Source organism: Homo sapiens, chromosome 1, assembly GCF_000001405.40.
Source record: "Homo sapiens chromosome 1, GRCh38.p14 Primary Assembly".
Lineage (NCBI taxonomy): Eukaryota > Metazoa > Chordata > Mammalia > Primates > Hominidae > Homo > Homo sapiens.
Genome location: NC_000001.11, coordinates 149,506,774 through 149,531,834, shown reverse-complemented (window position 1 = coordinate 149,531,834; position 25,061 = coordinate 149,506,774). Strand labels below are relative to the sequence as shown.

The 25,061-nt window shown below is 44.1% G+C and overlaps 1 protein-coding gene across 1 annotated transcript in view; it reads right to left on the bottom strand.

Annotated features, from left to right (window-relative positions):
- The window catches only part of NBPF19 (NBPF member 19), an 81,317-nt gene that overhangs the window by 24,527 nt on the left and 31,729 nt on the right, over positions 1-25,061 (bottom strand). Inside the window, exons 34-65 of the mRNA NM_001351365.2 lie at positions 24,616-24,788; positions 23,845-23,896; positions 23,068-23,240; positions 22,307-22,358; positions 21,484-21,656; positions 20,661-20,769; positions 19,855-20,027; positions 19,084-19,135; positions 18,307-18,479; positions 17,546-17,597; positions 16,727-16,899; positions 15,905-16,013; positions 15,099-15,271; positions 14,328-14,379; positions 13,553-13,725; positions 12,792-12,843; positions 11,975-12,147; positions 11,152-11,260; positions 10,344-10,516; positions 9,573-9,624; positions 8,798-8,970; positions 8,037-8,088; positions 7,218-7,390; positions 6,395-6,503; positions 5,593-5,765; positions 4,822-4,873; positions 4,049-4,221; positions 3,288-3,339; positions 2,489-2,661; positions 1,666-1,774; positions 864-1,036; positions 93-144 (exon numbers count right to left, since the gene is read on the bottom strand). Of these exons, the coding sequence (NP_001338294.1) occupies positions 93-144; positions 864-1,036; positions 1,666-1,774; positions 2,489-2,661; positions 3,288-3,339; positions 4,049-4,221; positions 4,822-4,873; positions 5,593-5,765; positions 6,395-6,503; positions 7,218-7,390; positions 8,037-8,088; positions 8,798-8,970; positions 9,573-9,624; positions 10,344-10,516; positions 11,152-11,260; positions 11,975-12,147; positions 12,792-12,843; positions 13,553-13,725; positions 14,328-14,379; positions 15,099-15,271; positions 15,905-16,013; positions 16,727-16,899; positions 17,546-17,597; positions 18,307-18,479; positions 19,084-19,135; positions 19,855-20,027; positions 20,661-20,769; positions 21,484-21,656; positions 22,307-22,358; positions 23,068-23,240; positions 23,845-23,896; positions 24,616-24,788 (3,885 nt within the window). The remainder of the gene's footprint in view (positions 1-92; positions 145-863; positions 1,037-1,665; positions 1,775-2,488; positions 2,662-3,287; positions 3,340-4,048; positions 4,222-4,821; positions 4,874-5,592; positions 5,766-6,394; positions 6,504-7,217; positions 7,391-8,036; positions 8,089-8,797; positions 8,971-9,572; positions 9,625-10,343; positions 10,517-11,151; positions 11,261-11,974; positions 12,148-12,791; positions 12,844-13,552; positions 13,726-14,327; positions 14,380-15,098; positions 15,272-15,904; positions 16,014-16,726; positions 16,900-17,545; positions 17,598-18,306; positions 18,480-19,083; positions 19,136-19,854; positions 20,028-20,660; positions 20,770-21,483; positions 21,657-22,306; positions 22,359-23,067; positions 23,241-23,844; positions 23,897-24,615; positions 24,789-25,061) is intronic.

The following is a 25,061-nucleotide window of genomic DNA, read 5'->3' as shown; positions in this document are numbered from 1 at the left end:
AAACATGAAATTGAACACACTCTTGTTTTCCCTGGACCTGGCATCTCCAGGTGTCAACACAGAATTAAGCATCCATAATTGCTCAAAGTTACCTGGGGCATGATGGGTCTTGGTCTTCTTCCACTTCTTGGTACTTTTCAATTTCTGCAATAAGTTCAGACATGGACAGACATATGAAGCTGGTTCTCCTACACACATAACAATCCACTGTCTAATCCTCACACAGGGACTTCAGGCTCCTCAGCATGAGAATAGGACACTGTGAGAGATATTCTTCAGGAGGCCTGAAGGCTGATCACCATAGAGATTCCTTGGTTTTTGTCCCAGAAACTGTGGGTAAAATTCCCTATTCTGGTAGATCGTTATCCCAATATCATTTGTCCCAAGTTTGTGCAAATGGTTATGCCATATTTTTCCAATCGATTTAAAGCAAATACCCCCAAATGGTTGCTAGGAGAAAAACTGCACTATTCAGCCCTGTCTCATCAAATACTCAGATTGTTCATGGTAGCGAGGATTTTAGACGCTGAAATTAGAGTGAAGGATGAAATCTACAAGATCTACAAAATTGAGACAAAATCAGAGTTGTGTGAATTTGTCACATCTGCCCAGGTCCAGTGTCATGAGAGTAGGATTAGGGCTCCACAGGCATGGCCTGAGACTAGGGAGAGAGCCTTGCTCACTGACCCATCCCTTGTCTGGGCTGCCAAGTGGAACTAGAGTTTCATTCAACCTACATGTGCCTATAGGTCCTCCCTGTGGCAATGACATCTCTCAGCTCAGTAAGGGCCACTTGCAGTAGGAATATGACCCTAACCAGAAGACTCAGTGGATCCTTATCACCTTCATAGAAAGGTACTCACCATCCATGTCAACAGCCAAGCCAACACACTGTTGCTCCAATATGTAAAAGGCACTTCTGTAGGGCTGGCATGAGTCAGTCAGTTCAAGACAACCTGAAGGAGTTGAATAACATCTATCCAGTGAGTCCTGCAAGACTTCAGGCCCTTTCTCATCCAGCAGCTCCCTGCTGAGCCTGGAAAAGTGGGAAAAAGTAAAGAATAAGCCAGGGGGAATCAGAAACCACACAGCCCCAGCTAGATTTCATGGCTAACGTTAAGGAAGAGTTTGAAAAGAAAAAGGACAGATCCATTAATGAGGTAACAAATTATTGCCTTTATGTTGGGATAGAACAGGGCCAGGTAGAAAACAATGAAAGAGAAAGACAGAGAGAGAGAGAGAGACAGAGACAGAGAGAGAGACAGAGACAGAGACAGAGAGAAAGTGACCTAGTGAATTGGCCAGGTGACATACTGGTAAGGGAGTAAAAGGACACTCTGAGTTAGTGCCCTCATGACACACAGCAAACTGTGATCATGAAAAGAGTGAGCTCAATAGTTTTCCATAAAATATGCTCAAAATTCGATGCAGTGGCCATGAGAGTACAGCTTTTGAAGTATGGTCAACCTATGGTACGTTAGTAAATGATAAGGGGAGGAAGAAATGGAAACCTAAACATCTACTGCAATGAAAACCAACAGCAATGACAGTAGGAGTAATTCAGCCTTCGTTGAAAACATGACATCAAACACACTCTGGTTTCCCTGAATCTGTTGCCTCCAGGTGTTAACACAGAATTAAGCATCCACAATTGCTGAAAGTCACCTGGGGCATGGTGGGTTTTGATCTTCTTCCCCTTCTTTTCTTCCCCTTCTTCTTTCCTTCTTTGATCTTCTTCCCCTTCTTTTCTTCCCCTTCCCCTTCTTTTCAATTTCTGCAATAAATTCAGACATGGACAGACACATTAAGCTGATTCCCCTACACACATAACAATCCACTGTCTAATCCTCACACAGGGACCTCAGGCTCCTCAGCATAAGAATAGGACACTGTGAGAGATATATTTCAGGAGGCCTGAAGGCTGGTCATGATAGAAATTCCTCGGTTTTTCTCCCAGAAACTGTGGGTAAAATGTCCCTATTCTAGTAGATCGTTATCCCAATATCATTTGTCCCAAGTTTGTGCAAACAGTTATGCCATATTTTTCCAATCAATTTAAAGCAAATACCCTCAAATGATTTCTAGGAGAAAAACTGCAATATTTAGCCCTGTCTCATCAAATACTCAGATTGTTCATGGTTGTGAGGACTTTAGACACTGAAATTAGAGTGAAAAAGGAAATCTACAAACCCTTGAGTCAAAATCATAGTTCTCTGAATTTGTCACATCTGCCCAGGTCCAATGTCATGAGAATAGGATCAGGGCGCCACAGGTATGGCCTGAGACTAGGAAGAGAGTCTTGCTCACTGACCCATCCCTTGTCTGGGCTTCCAGGTAGAACTAGAGTTTCATTCAACCTACATGTGCCTATAGGTCCTCACTGCGGCAACGACATCTCTCAGCTCAGTAATGGCCACTTGGAGCAGGAATATGATCTTTATATGGAAGACTCAGTGGATGCTTATCACCTTCATAGAAAGGTACTCACCTCCCACGTCAAGAGAAAAGCCAACATGTTTTTCCTCCAATGCATAAAAGGAACTTCCATAGGGCTGGCAGGAGTCAGGCTGTTCAAGACAACTGGAAGGAGTTGAATAACATCTATCCAGTGAGTCCTGCAAGACTTCAGGCTCTACTACCTCCAGCAGCTCCCTGCTGAGCCTGGAAAAGGAGGAAAAAGTAAAGAATAAGCCAGGGGAAATCACACACAACAGAGCCCCAACTAGGTTTCATGGGTAGCATAGGGAAGTGGTTAAGAAACTAAAAGGATAGATCCATTAATGAGGTAACAAATTATTGCCTTCATGTTGGGACAGAACAGGGCCAAATGGAAAAGAATGAAAGAGAAAGACAGATAGACACACACACACACACACACACACACACACAGAGAGAGAGAACGAGCTCAGTGAATTGTCCAGGTGACACACTGATGAGGGAGTAACAGGACACTCTGAGTTAGTGCCCTCAGGACACACAGCATACAGTGATCATGAAAAGACTGTGCTCAATAATTTTCCATAAAATGTGCTCAAGTTTCCACGCAGTCGCCATGAGAATACAGTTTTTGAAGTCTGGTCCACGTACAGTAGGTTAGTAAATGATAAGGGGAGGAAGAAATGGAAACCTAAATATCTACTGCAATGAAAACCAACAGCAATGTTAGTAGGAATAATTCAGGCTTGCTTGAAAAGATGTAATCGATAATGTCAGCCCGCTCTGTTTTCCCTGAACCAGGAGTCTCCAGATGTCAACACAGAAGTAGCTGTTCACAATTGCTCAGTTACCTGGGGCATGGTGGGCCTTGGTCTTCTTCCTCTTCTTGGTCCTTTTTAATTCCTGCAATACATTCAGACAGGGACAGACAAAATAAGCCAATTCACCTACACCCATAACAGTCCACTGTCTAATCCCCACACAGGGATCTCAGGCTCCTCAGCATGAGAACAGGACAATGTGAGAGATATACTTCAGGAGGCCTGAAAGCTGGTCATGATATTCTTTGGTTTGCATCTCAGAACCAAGGGTGAAATATCCCCATTCTGGTAGATCGTTATCCCAAAATCACTTATCCCAAGTTTGTGCAAACAGTTATGCCTTATTGTTCCCATCAGTTCAAAGAAAATGCCCCAGATGATTTCTAGGAGGAAAACTGCAGTATTCAGCCCTGTCTCATCAAATGCCCAGCTCGTTCATGGATGCAAGAATTTTAGACACTGAAATTAGAATGAAGGAGGAAATCCACAAACCCTTGAGTCCAAATCATAGTTCTGTGAATTTTTTGCATCTGCCTGGGTCCAATGTGCTGAGAGCGGGCTCAGGTTGCCACAGGCATGGCTGGAGACTAGGAATAGAGCCTTGCTCACTGACCCATTTCATGTCTAGGCTTCCAACTGAGACTACAGTTTCATTACAACCTATATGCGCCCATAGGTCCTGCCTGCGGCAATGACATCTCTCGGGTCAGTAAGGGCCACTTGGAACAGGAATATCACCCCTATCTGGAAGACCAGGTGGAGGCTTATCACCTTCATAGTAAGGTACTCACTGTCCACGTCAAGAGCCAAGCCAAGGTACTGTTCCTCCAATGAGTAAACAGCACTGCTGTAGGGCTGGCCTAAGTCAGGCAGTTCAAGATAACCTGAAGGAGTCGAATAACATCTATCCAGTGAGTCCTGCAAGACTTCAGGCTCTTTCTCATCCAGCAGCTCCCTGCTGAGCCTGGAAAAGTAGGAAAAAGTAAAGAATAAGCCAGGGGGAATCAGAAACCACACAGCCCCAGCTAGATTTCATGGCTAACATAAGGAACTGTTTAAAAAGAAAAAGGACAGATCCATTAATGAGGTAATGAATTATTGCCTTTATGTTGGGATAGACCAGGGCCAGGTAGAAAAGAATGAAAGAGAAAGACAGGGAGAGGGAGAGAGAGAGAGAGAGAGGAGAAAGTGAGCTCAGCGAGTTGGCCGGGTGACACACTGATGAAGGGGTCAAAGGACACTCTGAGTTAGTGCCCTCGGGACACACAGCGAACAGTGATCATGAAAAGAGTGGGCTCAATAATTTTCCATAAACTTGCTCAAGATTCCATGCAGTTGCCATACAGCCTTTGAGGTATGGTCAACCTATAGTAAGTTAGTAAATGTTAAGGGGAGGAAGAAATGGAAACCTAAACATCTACTGCAATGAAAACCAACAGCCATGTCAGTAGGAGTAATTCAACCTTCGTTGAAAACATGAAATTGAACACACTCTTGTTTTCCCTGGACCTGGCATCTCCAGGTGTCAACACAGAATTAAGCATCCATAATTGCTCAAAGTTACCTGGGGCATGATGGGTCTTGGTCTTCTTCCACTTCTTGGTACTTTTCAATTTCTGCAATAAGTTCAGACATGGACAGACATATGAAGCTGGTTCTCCTACACACATAACAATCCACTGTCTAATCCTCACACAGGGACTTCAGGCTCCTCAGCATGAGAATAGGACACTGTGAGAGATATTCTTCAGGAGGCCTGAAGGCTGATCACCATAGAGATTCCTTGGTTTTTGTCCCAGAAACTGTGGGTAAAATTCCCTATTCTGGTAGATCGTTATCCCAATATCATTTGTCCCAAGTTTGTGCAAATGGTTATGCCATATTTTTCCAATCGATTTAAAGCAAATACCCCCAAATGGTTGCTAGGAGAAAAACTGCACTATTCAGCCCTGTCTCATCAAATACTCAGATTGTTCATGGTAGCGAGGATTTTAGACGCTGAAATTAGAGTGAAGGATGAAATCTACAAGATCTACAAAATTGAGACAAAATCAGAGTTGTGTGAATTTGTCACATCTGCCCAGGTCCAATGTCATGAGAGTAGGATTAGGGCGCCACAGGCATGGCCTGAGACTAGGGAGAGAGCCTTGCTCACTGACCCATCCCTTGTCTGGGCTGCCAAGTGGAACTAGAGTTTCATTCAACCTACATGTGCCTATAGGTCCTCCCTGTGGCAATGACATCTCTCAGCTCAGTAAGGGCCACTTGCAGTAGGAATATGACCCTAACCAGAAGACTCAGTGGATCCTTATCACCTTCATAGAAAGGTACTCACCATCCATGTCAACAGCCAAGCCAACACACTGTTGCTCCAATATGTAAAAGGCACTTCTGTAGGGCTGGCATGAGTCAGTCAGTTCAAGACAACCTGAAGGAGTTGAATAACATCTATCCAGTGAGTCCTGCAAGACTTCAGGCCCTTTCTCATCCAGCAGCTCCCTGCTGAGCCTGGAAAAGTGGGAAAAAGTAAAGAATAAGCCAGGGGGAATCAGAAACCACACAGCCCCAGCTAGATTTCATGGCTAACGTTAAGGAAGAGTTTGAAAAGAAAAAGGACAGATCCATTAATGAGGTAACAAATTATTGCCTTTATGTTGGGATAGAACAGGGCCAGGTAGAAAACAATGAAAGAGAAAGACAGAGAGAGAGAGAGAGACAGAGACAGAGAGAGAGACAGAGACAGAGACAGAGAGAAAGTGACCTAGTGAATTGGCCAGGTGACATACTGGTAAGGGAGTAAAAGGACACTCTGAGTTAGTGCCCTCATGACACACAGCAAACTGTGATCATGAAAAGAGTGAGCTCAATAGTTTTCCATAAAATATGCTCAAAATTCGATGCAGTGGCCATGAGAGTACAGCTTTTGAAGTATGGTCAACCTATGGTACGTTAGTAAATGATAAGGGGAGGAAGAAATGGAAACCTAAACATCTACTGCAATGAAAACCAACAGCAATGACAGTAGGAGTAATTCAGCCTTCGTTGAAAACATGACATCAAACACACTCTGGTTTCCCTGAATCTGTTGCCTCCAGGTGTTAACACAGAATTAAGCATCCACAATTGCTGAAAGTCACCTGGGGCATGGTGGGTTTTGATCTTCTTCCCCTTCTTTTCTTCCCCTTCTTCTTTCCTTCTTTGATCTTCTTCCCCTTCTTTTCTTCCCCTTCCCCTTCTTTTCAATTTCTGCAATAAATTCAGACATGGACAGACACATTAAGCTGATTCCCCTACACACATAACAATCCACTGTCTAATCCTCACACAGGGACCTCAGGCTCCTCAGCATAAGAATAGGACACTGTGAGAGATATATTTCAGGAGGCCTGAAGGCTGGTCATGATAGAAATTCCTCGGTTTTTCTCCCAGAAACTGTGGGTAAAATGTCCCTATTCTAGTAGATCGTTATCCCAATATCATTTGTCCCAAGTTTGTGCAAACAGTTATGCCATATTTTTCCAATCAATTTAAAGCAAATACCCTCAAATGATTTCTGGGAGAAAAACTGCAATATTTAGCCCTGTCTCATCAAATACTCAGATTGTTCATGGTTGTGAGGACTTTAGACACTGAAATTAGAGTGAAAAAGGAAATCTGCAAACCCTTGAGTCAAAATCATAGTTCTCTGAATTTGTCACATCTGCCCAGGTCCAATGTCATGAGAGTAGAATCAGAGTGCCACAGGTATGGCCTGAGACTAGGAAGAGAGCCATGCTCACTGACCCATCCCATGTCTGGGCTTCCAGGTAGAACTAGAGTTTCATTCAACCTACATGTGCCTATAGGTCCTCACTGCGGCAATGACATCTCTCAGCTCAGTAATGGCCACTTGGAGCAGGAATATGATCTTTATATGGAAGACTCAGTGGATGCTTATCACCTTCATAGAAAGGTACTCACCTCCCACGTCAAGAGAAAAGCCAACATGTTTTTCCTCCAATGCATAAAAGGAACTTCCATAGGGCTGGCAGGAGTCAGGCTGTTCAAGACAACTGGAAGGAGTTGAATAACATCTATCCAGTGAGTCCTGCAAGACTTCAGGCTCTACTACCTCCAGCAGCTCCCTGCTGAGCCTGGAAAAGGAGGAAAAAGTAAAGAATAAGCCAGGGGAAATCACACACAACAGAGCCCCAACTAGGTTTCATGGGTAGCATAGGGAAGTGGTTAAGAAACTAAAAGGATAGATCCATTAATGAGGTAACAAATTATTGCCTTCATGTTGGGACAGAACAGGGCCAAATGGAAAAGAATGAAAGAGAAAGACAGATAGACACACACACACACACACACACACACACACACACACACACACACACAGAGAGAGAGAGAGAACGAGCTCAGTGAATTGTCCAGGTGACACACTGATGAGGGAGTAACAGGACACTCTGAGTTAGTGCCCTCAGGACACACAGCATACAGTGATCATGAAAAGACTGTGCTCAATAATTTTCCATAAAATGTGCTCAAGTTTCCACGCAGTCGCCATGAGAATACAGTTTTTGAAGTCTGGTCCACCTACAGTAGGTTAGTAAATGATAAGGGGAGGAAGAAATGGAAACCTAAATATCTACTGCAATGAAAACCAACAGCAATGTTAGTAGGAATAATTCAGGCTTGCTTGAAAAGATGTAATCGATAATGTCAGCCCGCTCTGTTTTCCCTGAACCAGGAGTCTCCAGATGTCAACACAGAAGTAGCTGTTCACAACTGCTCAGTTACCTGGGGCATGGTGGGCCTTGGTCTTCTTCCTCTTCTTGGTCCTTTTTAATTCCTGCAATACATTCAGACAGGGACAGACAAAATAAGCCAATTCACCTACACCCATAACAGTCCACTGTCTAATCCCCACACAGGGATCTCAGGCTCCTCAGCATGAGAACAGGACAATGTGAGAGATATACTTCAGGAGGCCTGAAAGCTGGTCATGATATTCTTTGGTTTGCATCTCAGAACCAAGGGTGAAATATCCCCATTCTGGTAGATCGTTATCCCAAAATCACTTATCCCAAGTTTGTGCAAACAGTTATGCCTTATTGTTCCCATCAGTTCAAAGAAAATGCCCCAGATGATTTCTAGGAGGAAAACTGCAGTATTCAGCCCTGTCTCATCAAATGCCCAGCTCGTTCATGGATGCAAGAATTTTAGACACTGAAATTAGAATGAAGGAGGAAATCCACAAACCCTTGAGTCCAAATCATAGTTCTGTGAATTTTTTACATCTGCCTGGGTCCAATGTGCTGAGAGCGGGCTCAGGTTGCCACAGGCATGGCTGGAGACTAGGAATAGAGCCTTGCTCACTGACCCATTTCATGTCTAGGCTTCCAACTGAGACTACAGTTTCATTACAACCTATATGCGCCCATAGGTCCTGCCTGCGGCAATGACATCTCTCGGGTCAGTAAGGGCCACTTGGAACAGGAATATCACCCCTATCTGGAAGACCAGGTGGAGGCTTATCACCTTCATAGTAAGGTACTCACTGTCCACGTCAAGAGCCAAGCCAAGGTACTGTTCCTCCAATGAGTAAACAGCACTGCTGTAGGGCTGGCCTAAGTCAGGCAGTTCAAGATAACCTGAAGGAGTCGAATAACATCTATCCAGTGAGTCCTGCAAGACTTCAGGCTCTTTCTCATCCAGCAGCTCCCTGCTGAGCCTGGAAAAGTAGGAAAAAGTAAAGAATAAGCCAGGGGGAATCAGAAACCACACAGCCCCAGCTAGATTTCATGGCTAACATAAGGAACTGTTTAAAAAGAAAAAGGACAGATCCATTAATGAGGTAATGAATTATTGCCTTTATGTTGGGATAGACCAGGGCCAGGTAGAAAAGAATGAAAGAGAAAGACAGGGAGAGGGAGAGAGAGAGAGAGAGAGAGGAGAAAGTGAGCTCAGCGAGTTGGCCGGGTGACACACTGATGAAGGGGTCAAAGGACACTCTGAGTTAGTGCCCTCGGGACACACAGCGAACAGTGATCATGAAAAGAGTGGGCTCAATAATTTTCCATAAACTTGCTCAAGATTCCATGCAGTTGCCATACAGCCTTTGAGGTATGGTCAACCTATAGTAAGTTAGTAAATGTTAAGGGGAGGAAGAAATGGAAACCTAAACATCTACTGCAATGAAAACCAACAGCCATGTCAGTAGGAGTAATTCAACCTTCGTTGAAAACATGAAATTGAACACACTCTTGTTTTCCCTGGACCTGGCATCTCCAGGTGTCAACACAGAATTAAGCATCCATAATTGCTCAAAGTTACCTGGGGCATGATGGGTCTTGGTCTTCTTCCACTTCTTGGTACTTTTCAATTTCTGCAATAAGTTCAGACATGGACAGACATATGAAGCTGGTTCTCCTACACACATAACAATCCACTGTCTAATCCTCACACAGGGACTTCAGGCTCCTCAGCATGAGAATAGGACACTGTGAGAGATATTCTTCAGGAGGCCTGAAGGCTGATCACCATAGAGATTCCTTGGTTTTTGTCCCAGAAACTGTGGGTAAAATTCCCTATTCTGGTAGATCGTTATCCCAATATCATTTGTCCCAAGTTTGTGCAAATGGTTATGCCATATTTTTCCAATCGATTTAAAGCAAATACCCCCAAATGGTTGCTAGGAGAAAAACTGCACTATTCAGCCCTGTCTCATCAAATACTCAGATTGTTCATGGTAGCGAGGATTTTAGACGCTGAAATTAGAGTGAAGGATGAAATCTACAAGATCTACAAAATTGAGACAAAATCAGAGTTGTGTGAATTTGTCACATCTGCCCAGGTCCAGTGTCATGAGAGTAGGATTAGGGCGCCACAGGCATGGCCTGAGACTAGGGAGAGAGCCTTGCTCACTGACCCATCCCTTGTCTGGGCTGCCAAGTGGAACTAGAGTTTCATTCAACCTACATGTGCCTATAGGTCCTCCCTGTGGCAATGACATCTCTCAGCTCAGTAAGGGCCACTTGCAGTAGGAATATGACCCTAACCAGAAGACTCAGTGGATCCTTATCACCTTCATAGAAAGGTACTCACCATCCATGTCAACAGCCAAGCCAACACACTGTTGCTCCAATATGTAAAAGGCACTTCTGTAGGGCTGGCATGAGTCAGTCAGTTCAAGACAACCTGAAGGAGTTGAATAACATCTATCCAGTGAGTCCTGCAAGACTTCAGGCCCTTTCTCATCCAGCAGCTCCCTGCTGAGCCTGGAAAAGTGGGAAAAAGTAAAGAATAAGCCAGGGGGAATCAGAAACCGCACAGCCCCAGCTAGATTTCATGGCTAACGTTAAGGAAGAGTTTGAAAAGAAAAAGGACAGATCCATTAATGAGGTAACAAATTATTGCCTTTATGTTGGGATAGAACAGGGCCAGGTAGAAAACAATGAAAGAGAAAGACAGAGAGAGAGAGAGAGAGAGAGACAGAGACAGAGAGAGAGACAGAGACAGAGACAGAGAGAAAGTGACCTAGTGAATTGGCCAGGTGACATACTGGTAAGGGAGTAAAAGGACACTCTGAGTTAGTGCCCTCATGACACACAGCAAACTGTGATCATGAAAAGAGTGAGCTCAATAGTTTTCCATAAAATATGCTCAAAATTCGATGCAGTGGCCATGAGAGTACAGCTTTTGAAGTATGGTCAACCTATGGTACGTTAGTAAATGATAAGGGGAGGAAGAAATGGAAACCTAAACATCTACTGCAATGAAAACCAACAGCAATGACAGTAGGAGTAATTCAGCCTTCGTTGAAAACATGACATCAAACACACTCTGGTTTCCCTGAATCTGTTGCCTCCAGGTGTTAACACAGAATTAAGCATCCACAATTGCTGAAAGTCACCTGGGGCATGGTGGGTTTTGATCTTCTTCCCCTTCTTTTCTTCCCCTTCTTCTTTCCTTCTTTGATCTTCTTCCCCTTCTTTTCTTCCCCTTCCCCTTCTTTTCAATTTCTGCAATAAATTCAGACATGGACAGACACATTAAGCTGATTCCCCTACACACATAACAATCCACTGTCTAATCCTCACACAGGGACCTCAGGCTCCTCAGCATAAGAATAGGACACTGTGAGAGATATATTTCAGGAGGCCTGAAGGCTGGTCATGATAGAAATTCCTCGGTTTTTCTCCCAGAAACTGTGGGTAAAATGTCCCTATTCTAGTAGATCGTTATCCCAATATCATTTGTCCCAAGTTTGTGCAAACAGTTATGCCATATTTTTCCAATCAATTTAAAGCAAATACCCTCAAATGATTTCTGGGAGAAAAACTGCAATATTTAGCCCTGTCTCATCAAATACTCAGATTGTTCATGGTTGTGAGGACTTTAGACACTGAAATTAGAGTGAAAAAGGAAATCTACAAACCCTTGAGTCAAAATCATAGTTCTCTGAATTTGTCACATCTGCCCAGGTCCAATGTCATGAGAATAGGATCAGGGCGCCACAGGTATGGCCTGAGACTAGGAAGAGAGTCTTGCTCACTGACCCATCCCTTGTCTGGGCTTCCAGGTAGAACTAGAGTTTCATTCAACCTACATGTGCCTATAGGTCCTCACTGCGGCAACGACATCTCTCAGCTCAGTAATGGCCACTTGGAGCAGGAATATGATCTTTATATGGAAGACTCAGTGGATGCTTATCACCTTCATAGAAAGGTACTCACCTCCCACGTCAAGAGAAAAGCCAACATGTTTTTCCTCCAATGCATAAAAGGAACTTCCATAGGGCTGGCAGGAGTCAGGCTGTTCAAGACAACTGGAAGGAGTTGAATAACATCTATCCAGTGAGTCCTGCAAGACTTCAGGCTCTACTACCTCCAGCAGCTCCCTGCTGAGCCTGGAAAAGGAGGAAAAAGTAAAGAATAAGCCAGGGGAAATCACACACAACAGAGCCCCAACTAGGTTTCATGGGTAGCATAGGGAAGTGGTTAAGAAACTAAAAGGATAGATCCATTAATGAGGTAACAAATTATTGCCTTCATGTTGGGACAGAACAGGGCCAAATGGAAAAGAATGAAAGAGAAAGACAGACACACACACACACACACACACACACACACACACACACACACACACACAGAGAGAGAGAGAGAACGAGCTCAGTGAATTGTCCAGGTGACACACTGATGAGGGAGTAACAGGACACTCTGAGTTAGTGCCCTCAGGACACACAGCATACAGTGATCATGAAAAGACTGTGCTCAATAATTTTCCATAAAATGTGCTCAAGTTTCCATGCAGTCGCCATGAGAATACAGTTTTTGAAGTCTGGTCCACCTACAGTAGGTTAGTAAATGATAAGGGGAGGAAGAAATGGAAACCTAAATATCTACTGCAATGAAAACCAACAGCAATGTTAGTAGGAATAATTCAGGCTTGCTTGAAAAGATGTAATCGATAATGTCAGCCCGCTCTGTTTTCCCTGAACCAGGAGTCTCCAGATGTCAACACAGAAGTAGCTGTTCACAATTGCTCAGTTACCTGGGGCATGGTGGGCCTTGGTCTTCTTCCTCTTCTTGGTCCTTTTTAATTCCTGCAATACATTCAGACAGGGACAGACAAAATAAGCCAATTCACCTACACCCATAACAGTCCACTGTCTAATCCCCACACAGGGATCTCAGGCTCCTCAGCATGAGAACAGGACAATGTGAGAGATATACTTCAGGAGGCCTGAAAGCTGGTCATGATATTCTTTGGTTTGCATCTCAGAACCAAGGGTGAAATATCCCCATTCTGGTAGATCGTTATCCCAAAATCACTTATCCCAAGTTTGTGCAAACAGTTATGCCTTATTGTTCCCATCAGTTCAAAGAAAATGCCCCAGATGATTTCTAGGAGGAAAACTGCAGTATTCAGCCCTGTCTCATCAAATGCCCAGCTCGTTCATGGATGCAAGAATTTTAGACACTGAAATTAGAATGAAGGAGGAAATCCACAAACCCTTGAGTCCAAATCATAGTTCTGTGAATTTTTTACATCTGCCTGGGTCCAATGTGCTGAGAGCGGGCTCAGGTTGCCACAGGCATGGCTGGAGACTAGGAATAGAGCCTTGCTCACTGACCCATTTCATGTCTAGGCTTCCAACTGAGACTACAGTTTCATTACAACCTATATGCGCCCATAGGTCCTGCCTGCGGCAATGACATCTCTCGGGTCAGTAAGGGCCACTTGGAACAGGAATATCACCCCTATCTGGAAGACCAGGTGGAGGCTTATCACCTTCATAGTAAGGTACTCACTGTCCACGTCAAGAGCCAAGCCAAGGTACTGTTCCTCCAATGAGTAAACAGCACTGCTGTAGGGCTGGCCTAAGTCAGGCAGTTCAAGATAACCTGAAGGAGTCGAATAACATCTATCCAGTGAGTCCTGCAAGACTTCAGGCTCTTTCTCATCCAGCAGCTCCCTGCTGAGCCTGGAAAAGTAGGAAAAAGTAAAGAATAAGCCAGGGGGAATCAGAAACCACACAGCCCCAGCTAGATTTCATGGCTAACATAAGGAACTGTTTAAAAAGAAAAAGGACAGATCCATTAATGAGGTAATGAATTATTGCCTTTATGTTGGGATAGACCAGGGCCAGGTAGAAAAGAATGAAAGAGAAAGACAGGGAGAGGGAGAGAGAGAGAGAGAGAGAGGAGAAAGTGAGCTCAGCGAGTTGGCCGGGTGACACACTGATGAAGGGGTCAAAGGACACTCTGAGTTAGTGCCCTCGGGACACACAGCGAACAGTGATCATGAAAAGAGTGGGCTCAATAATTTTCCATAAACTTGCTCAAGATTCCATGCAGTTGCCATACAGCCTTTGAGGTATGGTCAACCTATAGTAAGTTAGTAAATGTTAAGGGGAGGAAGAAATGGAAACCTAAACATCTACTGCAATGAAAACCAACAGCCATGTCAGTAGGAGTAATTCAACCTTCGTTGAAAACATGAAATTGAACACACTCTTGTTTTCCCTGGACCTGGCATCTCCAGGTGTCAACACAGAATTAAGCATCCATAATTGCTCAAAGTTACCTGGGGCATGATGGGTCTTGGTCTTCTTCCACTTCTTGGTACTTTTCAATTTCTGCAATAAGTTCAGACATGGACAGACATATGAAGCTGGTTCTCCTACACACATAACAATCCACTGTCTAATCCTCACACAGGAACTTCAGGCTCCTCAGCATGAGAATAGGACACTGTGAGAGATATTCTTCAGGAGGCCTGAAGGCTGATCACCATAGAGATTCCTTGGTTTTTGTCCCAGAAACTGTGGGTAAAATTCCCTATTCTGGTAGATCGTTATCCCAATATCATTTGTCCCAAGTTTGTGCAAATGGTTATGCCATATTTTTCCAATCGATTTAAAGCAAATACCCCCAAATGGTTGCTAGGAGAAAAACTGCACTATTCAGCCCTGTCTCATCAAATACTCAGATTGTTCATGGTAGCGAGGATTTTAGACGCTGAAATTAGAGTGAAGGATGAAATCTACAAGATCTACAAAATTGAGACAAAATCAGAGTTGTGTGAATTTGTCACATCTGCCCAGGTCCAATGTCATGAGAGTAGGATTAGGGCGCCACAGGCATGGCCTGAGACTAGGGAGAGAGCCTTGCTCACTGACCCATCCCTTGTCTGGGCTGCCAAGTGGAACTAGAGTTTCATTCAACCTACATGTGCCTATAGGTCCTCCCTGTGGCAATGACATCTCTCAGCTCAGTAAGGGCCACTTGCAGTAGGAATATGACCCTAACCAGAAGACTCAGTGGATCCTTATCACCTTCATAGAAAGGTACTCACCATCCATGTCAACAGCCAAGCCAACACACTGTTGCTCCAATATGTAAAAGGCACTTCTGTAGGGCTGGCATGAGTCAGTCAGTTCAAGACAACCTGAAGGAGTTGAATAACATCTATCCAGTGAGTCCTGCAAGACTTCAGGCCCTTTCTCATCCAGCAGCTCCCTGCTGAGCCTGGAAAAGTGGGAAAAAGTAAAGAATAAGCCAGGGGGAATCAGAAACCGCACAGCCCCAGCTAGATTTCATGGCTAACGTTAAGGAAGAGTTTGAAAAGAAAAAGGACAGATCCATTAATGAGGGAACAAATTATTGCCTTTATGTTGGGATAGAACAGGGCCAGGTAGAAAACAATGAAAGAGAAAGACAGAGAGAGAGAGAGAGAGAGACAGAGACAGAGAGAGAGACAGAGACAGAGACAGAGAGAAAGTGACCTAGTGAATTGGCCAGGTGACATACTGGTAAGGGAGTAAAAGGACACTCTGAGTTAGTGCCCTCATGACACACAGCAAACTGTGATCATGAAAAGAGTGAGCTCAATAGTTTTCCATAAAATATGCTCAAAATTCGATGCAGTGGCCATGAGAGTACAGCTTTTGAAGTATGGTCAACCTATGGTACGCTAGTAAATGATAAGGGGAGGAAGAAATGGAAACCTAAACATCTACTGCAATGAAAACCAACAGCAATGACAGTAGGAGTAATTCAGCCTTCGTTGAAAACATGACATCAAACACGCTCTGGTTTCCCTGAATCTGTTGCCTCCAGGTGTTAACACAGAATTAAGCATCCACAATTGCTGAAAGTCACCTGGGGCATGGTGGGTTTTGATCTTCTTCCCCTTCTTTTCTTCCCCTTCTTCTTTCCTTCTTTGATCTTCTTCCCCTTCTTTTCTTCCCCTTCCCCTTCTTTTCAATTTCTGCAATAAATTCAGACATGGACAGACACATTAAGCTGATTCCCCTACACACATAACAATCCACTGTCTAATCCTCACACAGGGACCTCAGGCTCCTCAGCATAAGAATAGGACACTGTGAGAGATATATTTCAGGAGGCCTGAAGGCTGGTCATGATAGAAATTCCTCGGTTTTTCTCCCAGAAACTGTGGGTAAAATGTCCCTATTCTAGTAGATCGTTATCCCAATATCATTTGTCCCAAGTTTGTGCAAACAGTTATGCCACATTTTTCCAATCAATTTAAAGCAAATACCCTCAAATGATTTCTAGGAGAAAAACTGCAATATTTAGCCCTGTCTCATCAAATACTCAGATTGTTCATGGTTGTGAGGACTTTAGACACTGAAATTAGAGTGAAAAAGGAAATCTACAAACCCTTGAGTCAAAATCATAGTTCTCTGAATTTGTCACATCTGCCCAGGTCCAATGTCATGAGAATAGGATCAGGGCGCCACAGGTATGGCCTGAGACTAGGAAGAGAGTCTTGCTCACTGACCCATCCCTTGTCTGGGCTTCCAGGTAGAACTAGAGTTTCATTCAACCTACATGTGCCTATAGGTCCTCACTGCGGCAACGACATCTCTCAGCTCAGTAATGGCCACTTGGAGCAGGAATATGATCTTTATATGGAAGACTCAGTGGTGCTTATCACCTTCATAGAAAGGTACTCACCTCCCACGTCAAGAGAAAAGCCAACATGTTTTTCCTCCAATGCATAAAAGGAACTTCCATAGGGCTGGCAGGAGTCAGGCTGTTCAAGACAACTGGAAGGAGTTGAATAACATCTATCCAGTGAGTCCTGCAAGACTTCAGGCTCTACTACCTCCAGCAGCTCCCTGCTGAGCCTGGAAAAGGAGGAAAAAGTAAAGAATAAGCCAGGGGAAATCACACACAACAGAGCCCCAACTAGGTTTCATGGGTAGCATAGGGAAGTGGTTAAGAAACTAAAAGGATAGATCCATTAATGAGGTAACAAATTATTGCCTTCATGTTGGGACAGAACAGGGCCAAATGGAAAAGAATGAAAGAGAAAGACAGATAGACACACACACACACACACACACACACACACACACACACACACACAGAGAGAGAGAGAGAGAACGAGCTCAGTGAATTGTCCAGGTGACACACTGATGAGGGAGTAACAGGACACTCTGAGTTAGTGCCCTCAGGACACACAGCATACAGTGATCATGAAAAGACTGTGCTCAATAATTTTCCATAAAATGTGCTCAAGTTTCCATGCAGTCGCCATGAGAATACAGTTTTTGAAGTCTGGTCCACCTACAGTAGGTTAGTAAATGATAAGGGGAGGAAGAAATGGAAACCTAAATATCTACTGCAATGAAAACCAACAGCAATGTTAGTAGGAATAATTCAGGCTTGCTTGAAAAGATGTAATCGATAATGTCAGCCCGCTCTGTTTTCCCTGAACCAGGAGTCTCCAGATGTCAACACAGAAGTAGCTGTTCACAATTGCTCAGTTACCTGGGGCATGGTGGGTCTTGGTCTTCTTCCTCTTCTTGGTCCTTTTTAATTCCTGCAATACATTCAGACAGGGACAGACAAAATAAGCCAATTCACCTACACCCATAACAGTCCACTGTCTAATCCCCACACAGGGATCTCAGGCTCCTCAGCATGAGAACAGGACAATGTGAGAGATATACTTCAGGAGGCCTGAAAGCTGGTCATGATATTCTTTGGTTTGCATCTCAGAACCAAGGGTGAAATATCCCCATTCTGGTAGATCGTTATCCCAAAATCACTTATCCCAAGTTTGTGCAAACAGTTATGCCTTATTGTTCCCATCAGTTCAAAGAAAATGCCCCAGATGATTTCTAGGAGGAAAACTGCAGTATTCAGCCCTGTCTCATCAAATGCCCAGCTCGTTCATGGATGCAAGAATTTTAGACACTGAAATTAGAATGAAGGAGGAAATCTACAAACCCTTGAGTCCAAATCATAGTTCTGTGAATTTTTTGCATCTGCCTGGGTCCAATGTGCTGAGAGCGGGCTCAGGTTGCCACAGGCATGGCTGGAGACTAGGAATAGAGCCTTGCTCACTGACCCATTTCATGTCTAGGCTTCCAACTGAGACTACAGTTTCATTACAACCTATATGCGCCCATAGGTCCTGCCTGCGGCAATGACATCTCTCGGGTCAGTAAGGGCCACTTGGAACAGGAATATCACCCCTATCTGGAAGACCAGGTGGAGGCTTATCACCTTCATAGTAAGGTACTCACTGTCCACGTCAAGAGCCAAGCCAAGGTACTGTTCCTCCAATGAGTAAACAGCACTGCTGTAGGGCTGGCCTAAGTCAGGCAGTTCAAGATAACCTGAAGGAATCGAATAACATCTATCCAGTGAGTCCTGCAAGACTTCAGGCTCTTTCTCATCCAGCAGCTCCCTGCTGAGCCTGGAAAAGTAGGAAAAAGTAAAGAATAAGCCAGGGGGAATCAGAAACCACACAGCCCCAGCTAGATTTCATGGCTAACATAAGGAACTGTTTAAAAAGAAAAAGGACAGATCCATTAATGAGGTAATGAATTATTGCCTTTATGTTGGGATAGACCAGGGCCAGGTAGAGAAGAATGAAAGAGAAAGACAGGGAGAGGGAGAGAGAGAGAGAGAGAGAGAGGAGAAAGTGAGCTCAGCGAGTTGGCCGGGTGACACACTGATGAAGGGGTCAAAGGACACTCTGAGTTAGTGCCCTCGGGACACACAGCGAACAGTGATCATGAAAAGAGTGGGCTCAATAATTTTCCATAAACTTGCTCAAGATTCCATGCAGTTGCCATACAGCCTTTGAGGTATGGTCAACCTATAGTAAGTTAGTAAATGATAAGGGGAGGAAGAAATGGAAACCTAAACATCTACTGCAATGAAAACCAACAGCCATGTCAGTAGGAGTAATTCAACCTTCGTTGAAAACATGAAATTGAACACACTCTTGTTTTCCCTGGACCTGGCATCTCCAGGTGTCAACACAGAATTAAGCATCCATAATTGCTCAAAGTTACCTGGGGCATGATGGGTCTTGGTCTTCTTCCACTTCTTGGTACTTTTCAATTTCTGCAATAAGTTCAGACATGGACAGACATATGAAGCTGGTTCTCCTACACACATAACAATCCACTGTCTAATCCTCACACAGAGACTTCAGGCTCCTCAGCATGAGAATAGGACACTGTGAGAGATATTCTTCAGGAGGCCTGAAGGCTGATCACCATAGAGATTCCTTGGTTTTTGTCCCAGAAACTGTGGGTAAAATTCCCTATTCTGGTAGATCGTTATCCCAATATCATTTGTCCCAAGTTTGTGCAAATGGTTATGCCATATTTTTCCAATCGATTTAAAGCAAATACCCCCAAATGGTTGCTAGGAGAAAAACTGCACTATTCAGCCCTGTCTCATCAAATACTCAGATTGTTCATGGTAGCGAGGATTTTAGACGCTGAAATTAGAGTGAAGGATGAAATCTACAAGATCTACAAAATTGAGACAAAATCAGAGTTGCGTGAATTTGTCACATCTGCCCAGGTCCAATGTCATGAGAGTAGGATTAGGGCGCCACAGGCATGGCCTGAGACTAGGAAGAGAGCCTTGCTCACTGACCCATCCCTTGTCTGGGCTGCCAAGTGGAACTAGAGTTTCATTCAACCTACATGTGCCTATAGGTCCTCCCTGTGGCAATGACATCTCTCAGCTCAGTAAGGGCCACTTGCAGTAGGAATATGACCCTAACCAGAAGACTCAGTGGATCCTTATCACCTTCATAGAAAGGTACTCACCATCCATGTCAACAGCCAAGCCAACACACTGTTGCTCCAATATGTAAAAGGCACTTCTGTAGGGCTGGCATGAGTCAGTCAGTTCAAGACAACCTGAAGGAGTTGAATAACATCTATCCAGTGAGTCCTGCAAGACTTCAGGCCCTTTCTCATCCAGCAGCTCCCTGCTGAGCCTGGAAAAGTGGGAAAAAGTAAAGAATAAGCCAGGGGGAATCAGAAACCGCACAGCCCCAGCTAGATTTCATGGCTAACGTTAAGGAAGAGTTTGAAAAGAAAAAGGACAGATCCATTAATGAGGTAACAAATTATTGCCTTTATGTTGGGATAGAACAGGGCCAGGTAGAAAACAATGAAAGAGAAAGACAGAGAGAGAGAGAGAGAGAGACAGAGACAGAGAGAGAGACAGAGACAGAGACAGAGAGAAAGTGACCTAGTGAATTGGCCAGGTGACATACTGGTAAGGGAGTAAAAGGACACTCTGAGTTAGTGCCCTCATGACACACAGCAAACTGTGATCATGAAAAGAGTGAGCTCAATAGTTTTCCATAAAATATGCTCAAAATTCGATGCAGTGGCCATGAGAGTACAGCTTTTGAAGTATGGTCAACCTATGGTACGTTAGGAAATGATAAGGGGAGGAAGAAATGGAAACCTAAACATCTACTGCAATGAAAACCAACAGCAATGACAGTAGGAGTAATTCAGCCTTCGTTGAAAACATGACATCAAACACGCTCTGGTTTCCCTGAATCTGTTGCCTCCAGGTGTTAACACAGAATTAAGCATCCACAATTGCTGAAAGTCACCTGGGGCATGGTGGGTTTTGATCTTCTTCCCCTTCTTTTCTTCCCCTTCTTCTTTCCTTCTTTGATCTTCTTCCCCTTCTTTTCTTCCCCTTCCCCTTCTTTTCAATTTCTGCAATAAATTCAGACATGGACAGACACATTAAGCTGATTCCCCTACACACATAACAATCCACTGTCTAATCCTCACACAGGGACCTCAGGCTCCTCAGCATAAGAATAGGACACTGTGAGAGATATATTTCAGGAGGCCTGAAGGCTGGTCATGATAGAAATTCCTCGGTTTTTCTCCCAGAAACTGTGGGTAAAATGTCCCTATTCTAGTAGATCGTTATCCCAATATCATTTGTCCCAAGTTTGTGCAAACAGTTATGCCATATTTTTCCAATCAATTTAAAGCAAATACCCTCAAATGATTTCTAGGAGAAAAACTGCAATATTTAGCCCTGTCTCATCAAATACTCAGATTGTTCATGGTTGTGAGGACTTTAGACACTGAAATTAGAGTGAAAAAGGAAATCTACAAACCCTTGAGTCAAAATCATAGTTCTCTGAATTTGTCACATCTGCCCAGGTCCAATGTCATGAGAATAGGATCAGGGCGCCACAGGTATGGCCTGAGACTAGGAAGAGAGTCTTGCTCACTGACCCATCCCTTGTCTGGGCTTCCAGGTAGAACTAGAGTTTCATTCAACCTACATGTGCCTATAGGTCCTCACTGCGGCAACGACATCTCTCAGCTCAGTAATGGCCACTTGGAGCAGGAATATGATCTTTATATGGAAGACTCAGTGGATGCTTATCACCTTCATAGAAAGGTACTCACCTCCCACGTCAAGAGAAAAGCCAACATGTTTTTCCTCCAATGCATAAAAGGAACTTCCATAGGGCTGGCAGGAGTCAGGCTGTTCAAGACAACTGGAAGGAGTTGAATAACATCTATCCAGTGAGTCCTGCAAGACTTCAGGCTCTACTACCTCCACCAGCTCCCTGCTGAGCCTGGAAAAGGAGGAAAAAGTAAAGAATAAGCCAGGGGAAATCACACACAACAGAGCCCCAACTAGGTTTCATGCGTAGCATAGGGAAGTGGTTAAGAAACTAAAAGGATAGATCCATTAATGAGGTAACAAATTATTGCCTTCATGTTGGGACAGAACAGGGCCAAATGGAAAAGAATGAAAGAGAAAGACAGATGGACACACACACACACACACACACACGCACACACACACACACACACACACAGAGAGAGAGAGAGAGAACGAGCTCAGTGAATTGTCCAGGTGACACACTGATGAGGGAGTAACAGGACACTCTGAGTTAGTGCCCTCAGGACACACAGCATACAGTGATCATGAAAAGACTGTGCTCAATAATTTTCCATAAAATGTGCTCAAGTTTCCATGCAGTCGCCATGAGAATACAGTTTTTGAAGTCTGGTCCACCTACAGTAGGTTAGTAAATGATAAGGGGAGGAAGAAATGGAAACCTAAATATCTACTGCAATGAAAACCAACAGCAATGTTAGTAGGAATAATTCAGGCTTGCTTGAAAAGATGTAATCGATAATGTCAGCCCGCTCTGTTTTCCCTGAACCAGGAGTCTCCAGATGTCAACACAGAAGTAGCTGTTCACAATTGCTCAGTTACCTGGGGCATGGTGGGTCTTGGTCTTCTTCCTCTTCTTGGTCCTTTTTAATTCCTGCAATACATTCAGACAGGGACAGACAAAATAAGCCAATTCACCTACACCCATAACAGTCCACTGTCTAATCCCCACACAGGGATCTCAGGCTCCTCAGCATGAGAACAGGACAATGTGAGAGATATACTTCAGGAGGCCTGAAAGCTGGTCATGATATTCTTTGGTTTGCATCTCAGAACCAAGGGTGAAATATCCCCATTCTGGTAGATCGTTATCCCAAAATCACTTATCCCAAGTTTGTGCAAACAGTTATGCCTTATTGTTCCCATCAGTTCAAAGAAAATGCCCCAGATGATTTCTAGGAGGAAAACTGCAGTATTCAGCCCTGTCTCATCAAATGCCCAGCTCGTTCATGGATGCAAGAATTTTAGACACTGAAATTAGAATGAAGGAGGAAATCTACAAACCCTTGAGTCCAAATCATAGTTCTGTGAATTTTTTGCATCTGCCTGGATCCAATGTGCTGAGAGCGGGCTCAGGTTGCCACAGGCATGGCTGGAGACTAGGAATAGAGCCTTGCTCACTGACCCATTTCATGTCTAGGCTTCCAACTGAGACTACAGTTTCATTACAACCTATATGCGCCCATAGGTCCTGCCTGCGGCAATGACATCTCTCGGGTCAGTAAGGGCCACTTGGAACAGGAATATCACCCCTATCTGGAAGACCAGGTGGAGGCTTATCACCTTCATAGTAAGGTACTCACTGTCCACGTCAAGAGCCAAGCCAAGGTACTGTTCCTCCAATGAGTAAACAGCACTGCTGTAGGGCTGGCCTAAGTCAGGCAGTTCAAGATAACCTGAAGGAATCGAATAACATCTATCCAGTGAGTCCTGCAAGACTTCAGGCTCTTTCTCATCCAGCAGCTCCCTGCTGAGCCTGGAAAAGTAGGAAAAAGTAAAGAATAAGCCAGGGGGAATCAGAAACCACACAGCCCCAGCTAGATTTCATGGCTAACATAAGGAACTGTTTAAAAAGAAAAAGGACAGATCCATTAATGAGGTAATGAATTATTGCCTTTATGTTGGGATAGACCAGGGCCAGGTAGAGAAGAATGAAAGAGAAAGACAGGGAGAGGGAGAGAGAGAGAGAGAGAGAGAGGAGAAAGTGAGCTCAGCGAGTTGGCCGGGTGACACACTGATGAAGGGGTCAAAGGACACTCTGAGTTAGTGCCCTCGGGACACACAGCGAACAGTGATCATGAAAAGAGTGGGCTCAATAATTTTCCATAAACTTGCTCAAGATTCCATGCAGTTGCCATACAGCCTTTGAGGTATGGTCAACCTATAGTAAGTTAGTAAATGATAAGGGGAGGAAGAAATGGAAACCTAAACATCTACTGCAATGAAAACCAACAGCCATGTCAGTAGGAGTAATTCAACCTTCGTTGAAAACATGAAATTGAACACACTCTTGTTTTCCCTGGACCTGGCATCTCCAGGTGTCAACACAGAATTAAGCATCCATAATTGCTCAAAGTTACCTGGGGCATGATGGGTCTTGGTCTTCTTCCACTTCTTGGTACTTTTCAATTTCTGCAATAAGTTCAGACATGGACAGATATATGAAGCTGGTTCTCCTACACACATAACAATCCACTGTCTAATCCTCACACAGAGACTTCAGGCTCCTCAGCATGAGAATAGGACACTGTGAGAGATATTCTTCAGGAGGCCTGAAGGCTGATCACCATAGAGATTCCTTGGTTTTTGTCCCAGAAACTGTGGGTAAAATTCCCTATTCTGGTAGATCGTTATCCCAATATCATTTGTCCCAAGTTTGTGCAAATGGTTATGCCATATTTTTCCAATCGATTTAAAGCAAATACCCCCAAATGGTTGCTAGGAGAAAAACTGCACTATTCAGCCCTGTCTCATCAAATACTCAGATTGTTCATGGTAGCGAGGATTTTAGACGCTGAAATTAGAGTGAAGGATGAAATCTACAAGATCTACAAAATTGAGACAAAATCAGAGTTGCGTGAATTTGTCACATCTGCCCAGGTCCAGTGTCATGAGAGTAGGATTAGGGCGCCACAGGCATGGCCTGAGACTAGGAAGAGAGCCTTGCTCACTGACCCATCCCTTGTCTGGGCTGCCAAGTGGAACTAGAGTTTCATTCAACCTACATGTGCCTATAGGTCCTCCCTGTGGCAATGACATCTCTCAGCTCAGTAAGGGCCACTTGCAGTAGGAATATGACCCTAACCAGAAGACTCAGTGGATCCTTATCACCTTCATAGAAAGGTACTCACCATCCATGTCAACAGCCAAGCCAACACACTGTTGCTCCAATATGTAAAAGGCACTTCTGTAGGGCTGGCATGAGTCAGTCAGTTCAAGACAACCTGAAGGAGTTGAATAACATCTATCCAGTGAGTCCTGCAAGACTTCAGGCCCTTTCTCATCCAGCAGCTCCCTGCTGAGCCTGGAAAAGTGGGAAAAAGTAAAGAATAAGCCAGGGGGAATCAGAAACCGCACAGCCCCAGCTAGATTTCATGGCTAACGTTAAGGAAGAGTTTGAAAAGAAAAAGGACAGATCCATTAATGAGGTAACAAATTATTGCCTTTATGTTGGGATAGAACAGGGCCAGGTAGAAAACAATGAAAGAGAAAGACAGAGAGAGAGAGAGAGAGAGACAGAGACAGAGAGAGAGACAGAGACAGAGACAGAGAGAAAGTGACCTAGTGAATTGGCCAG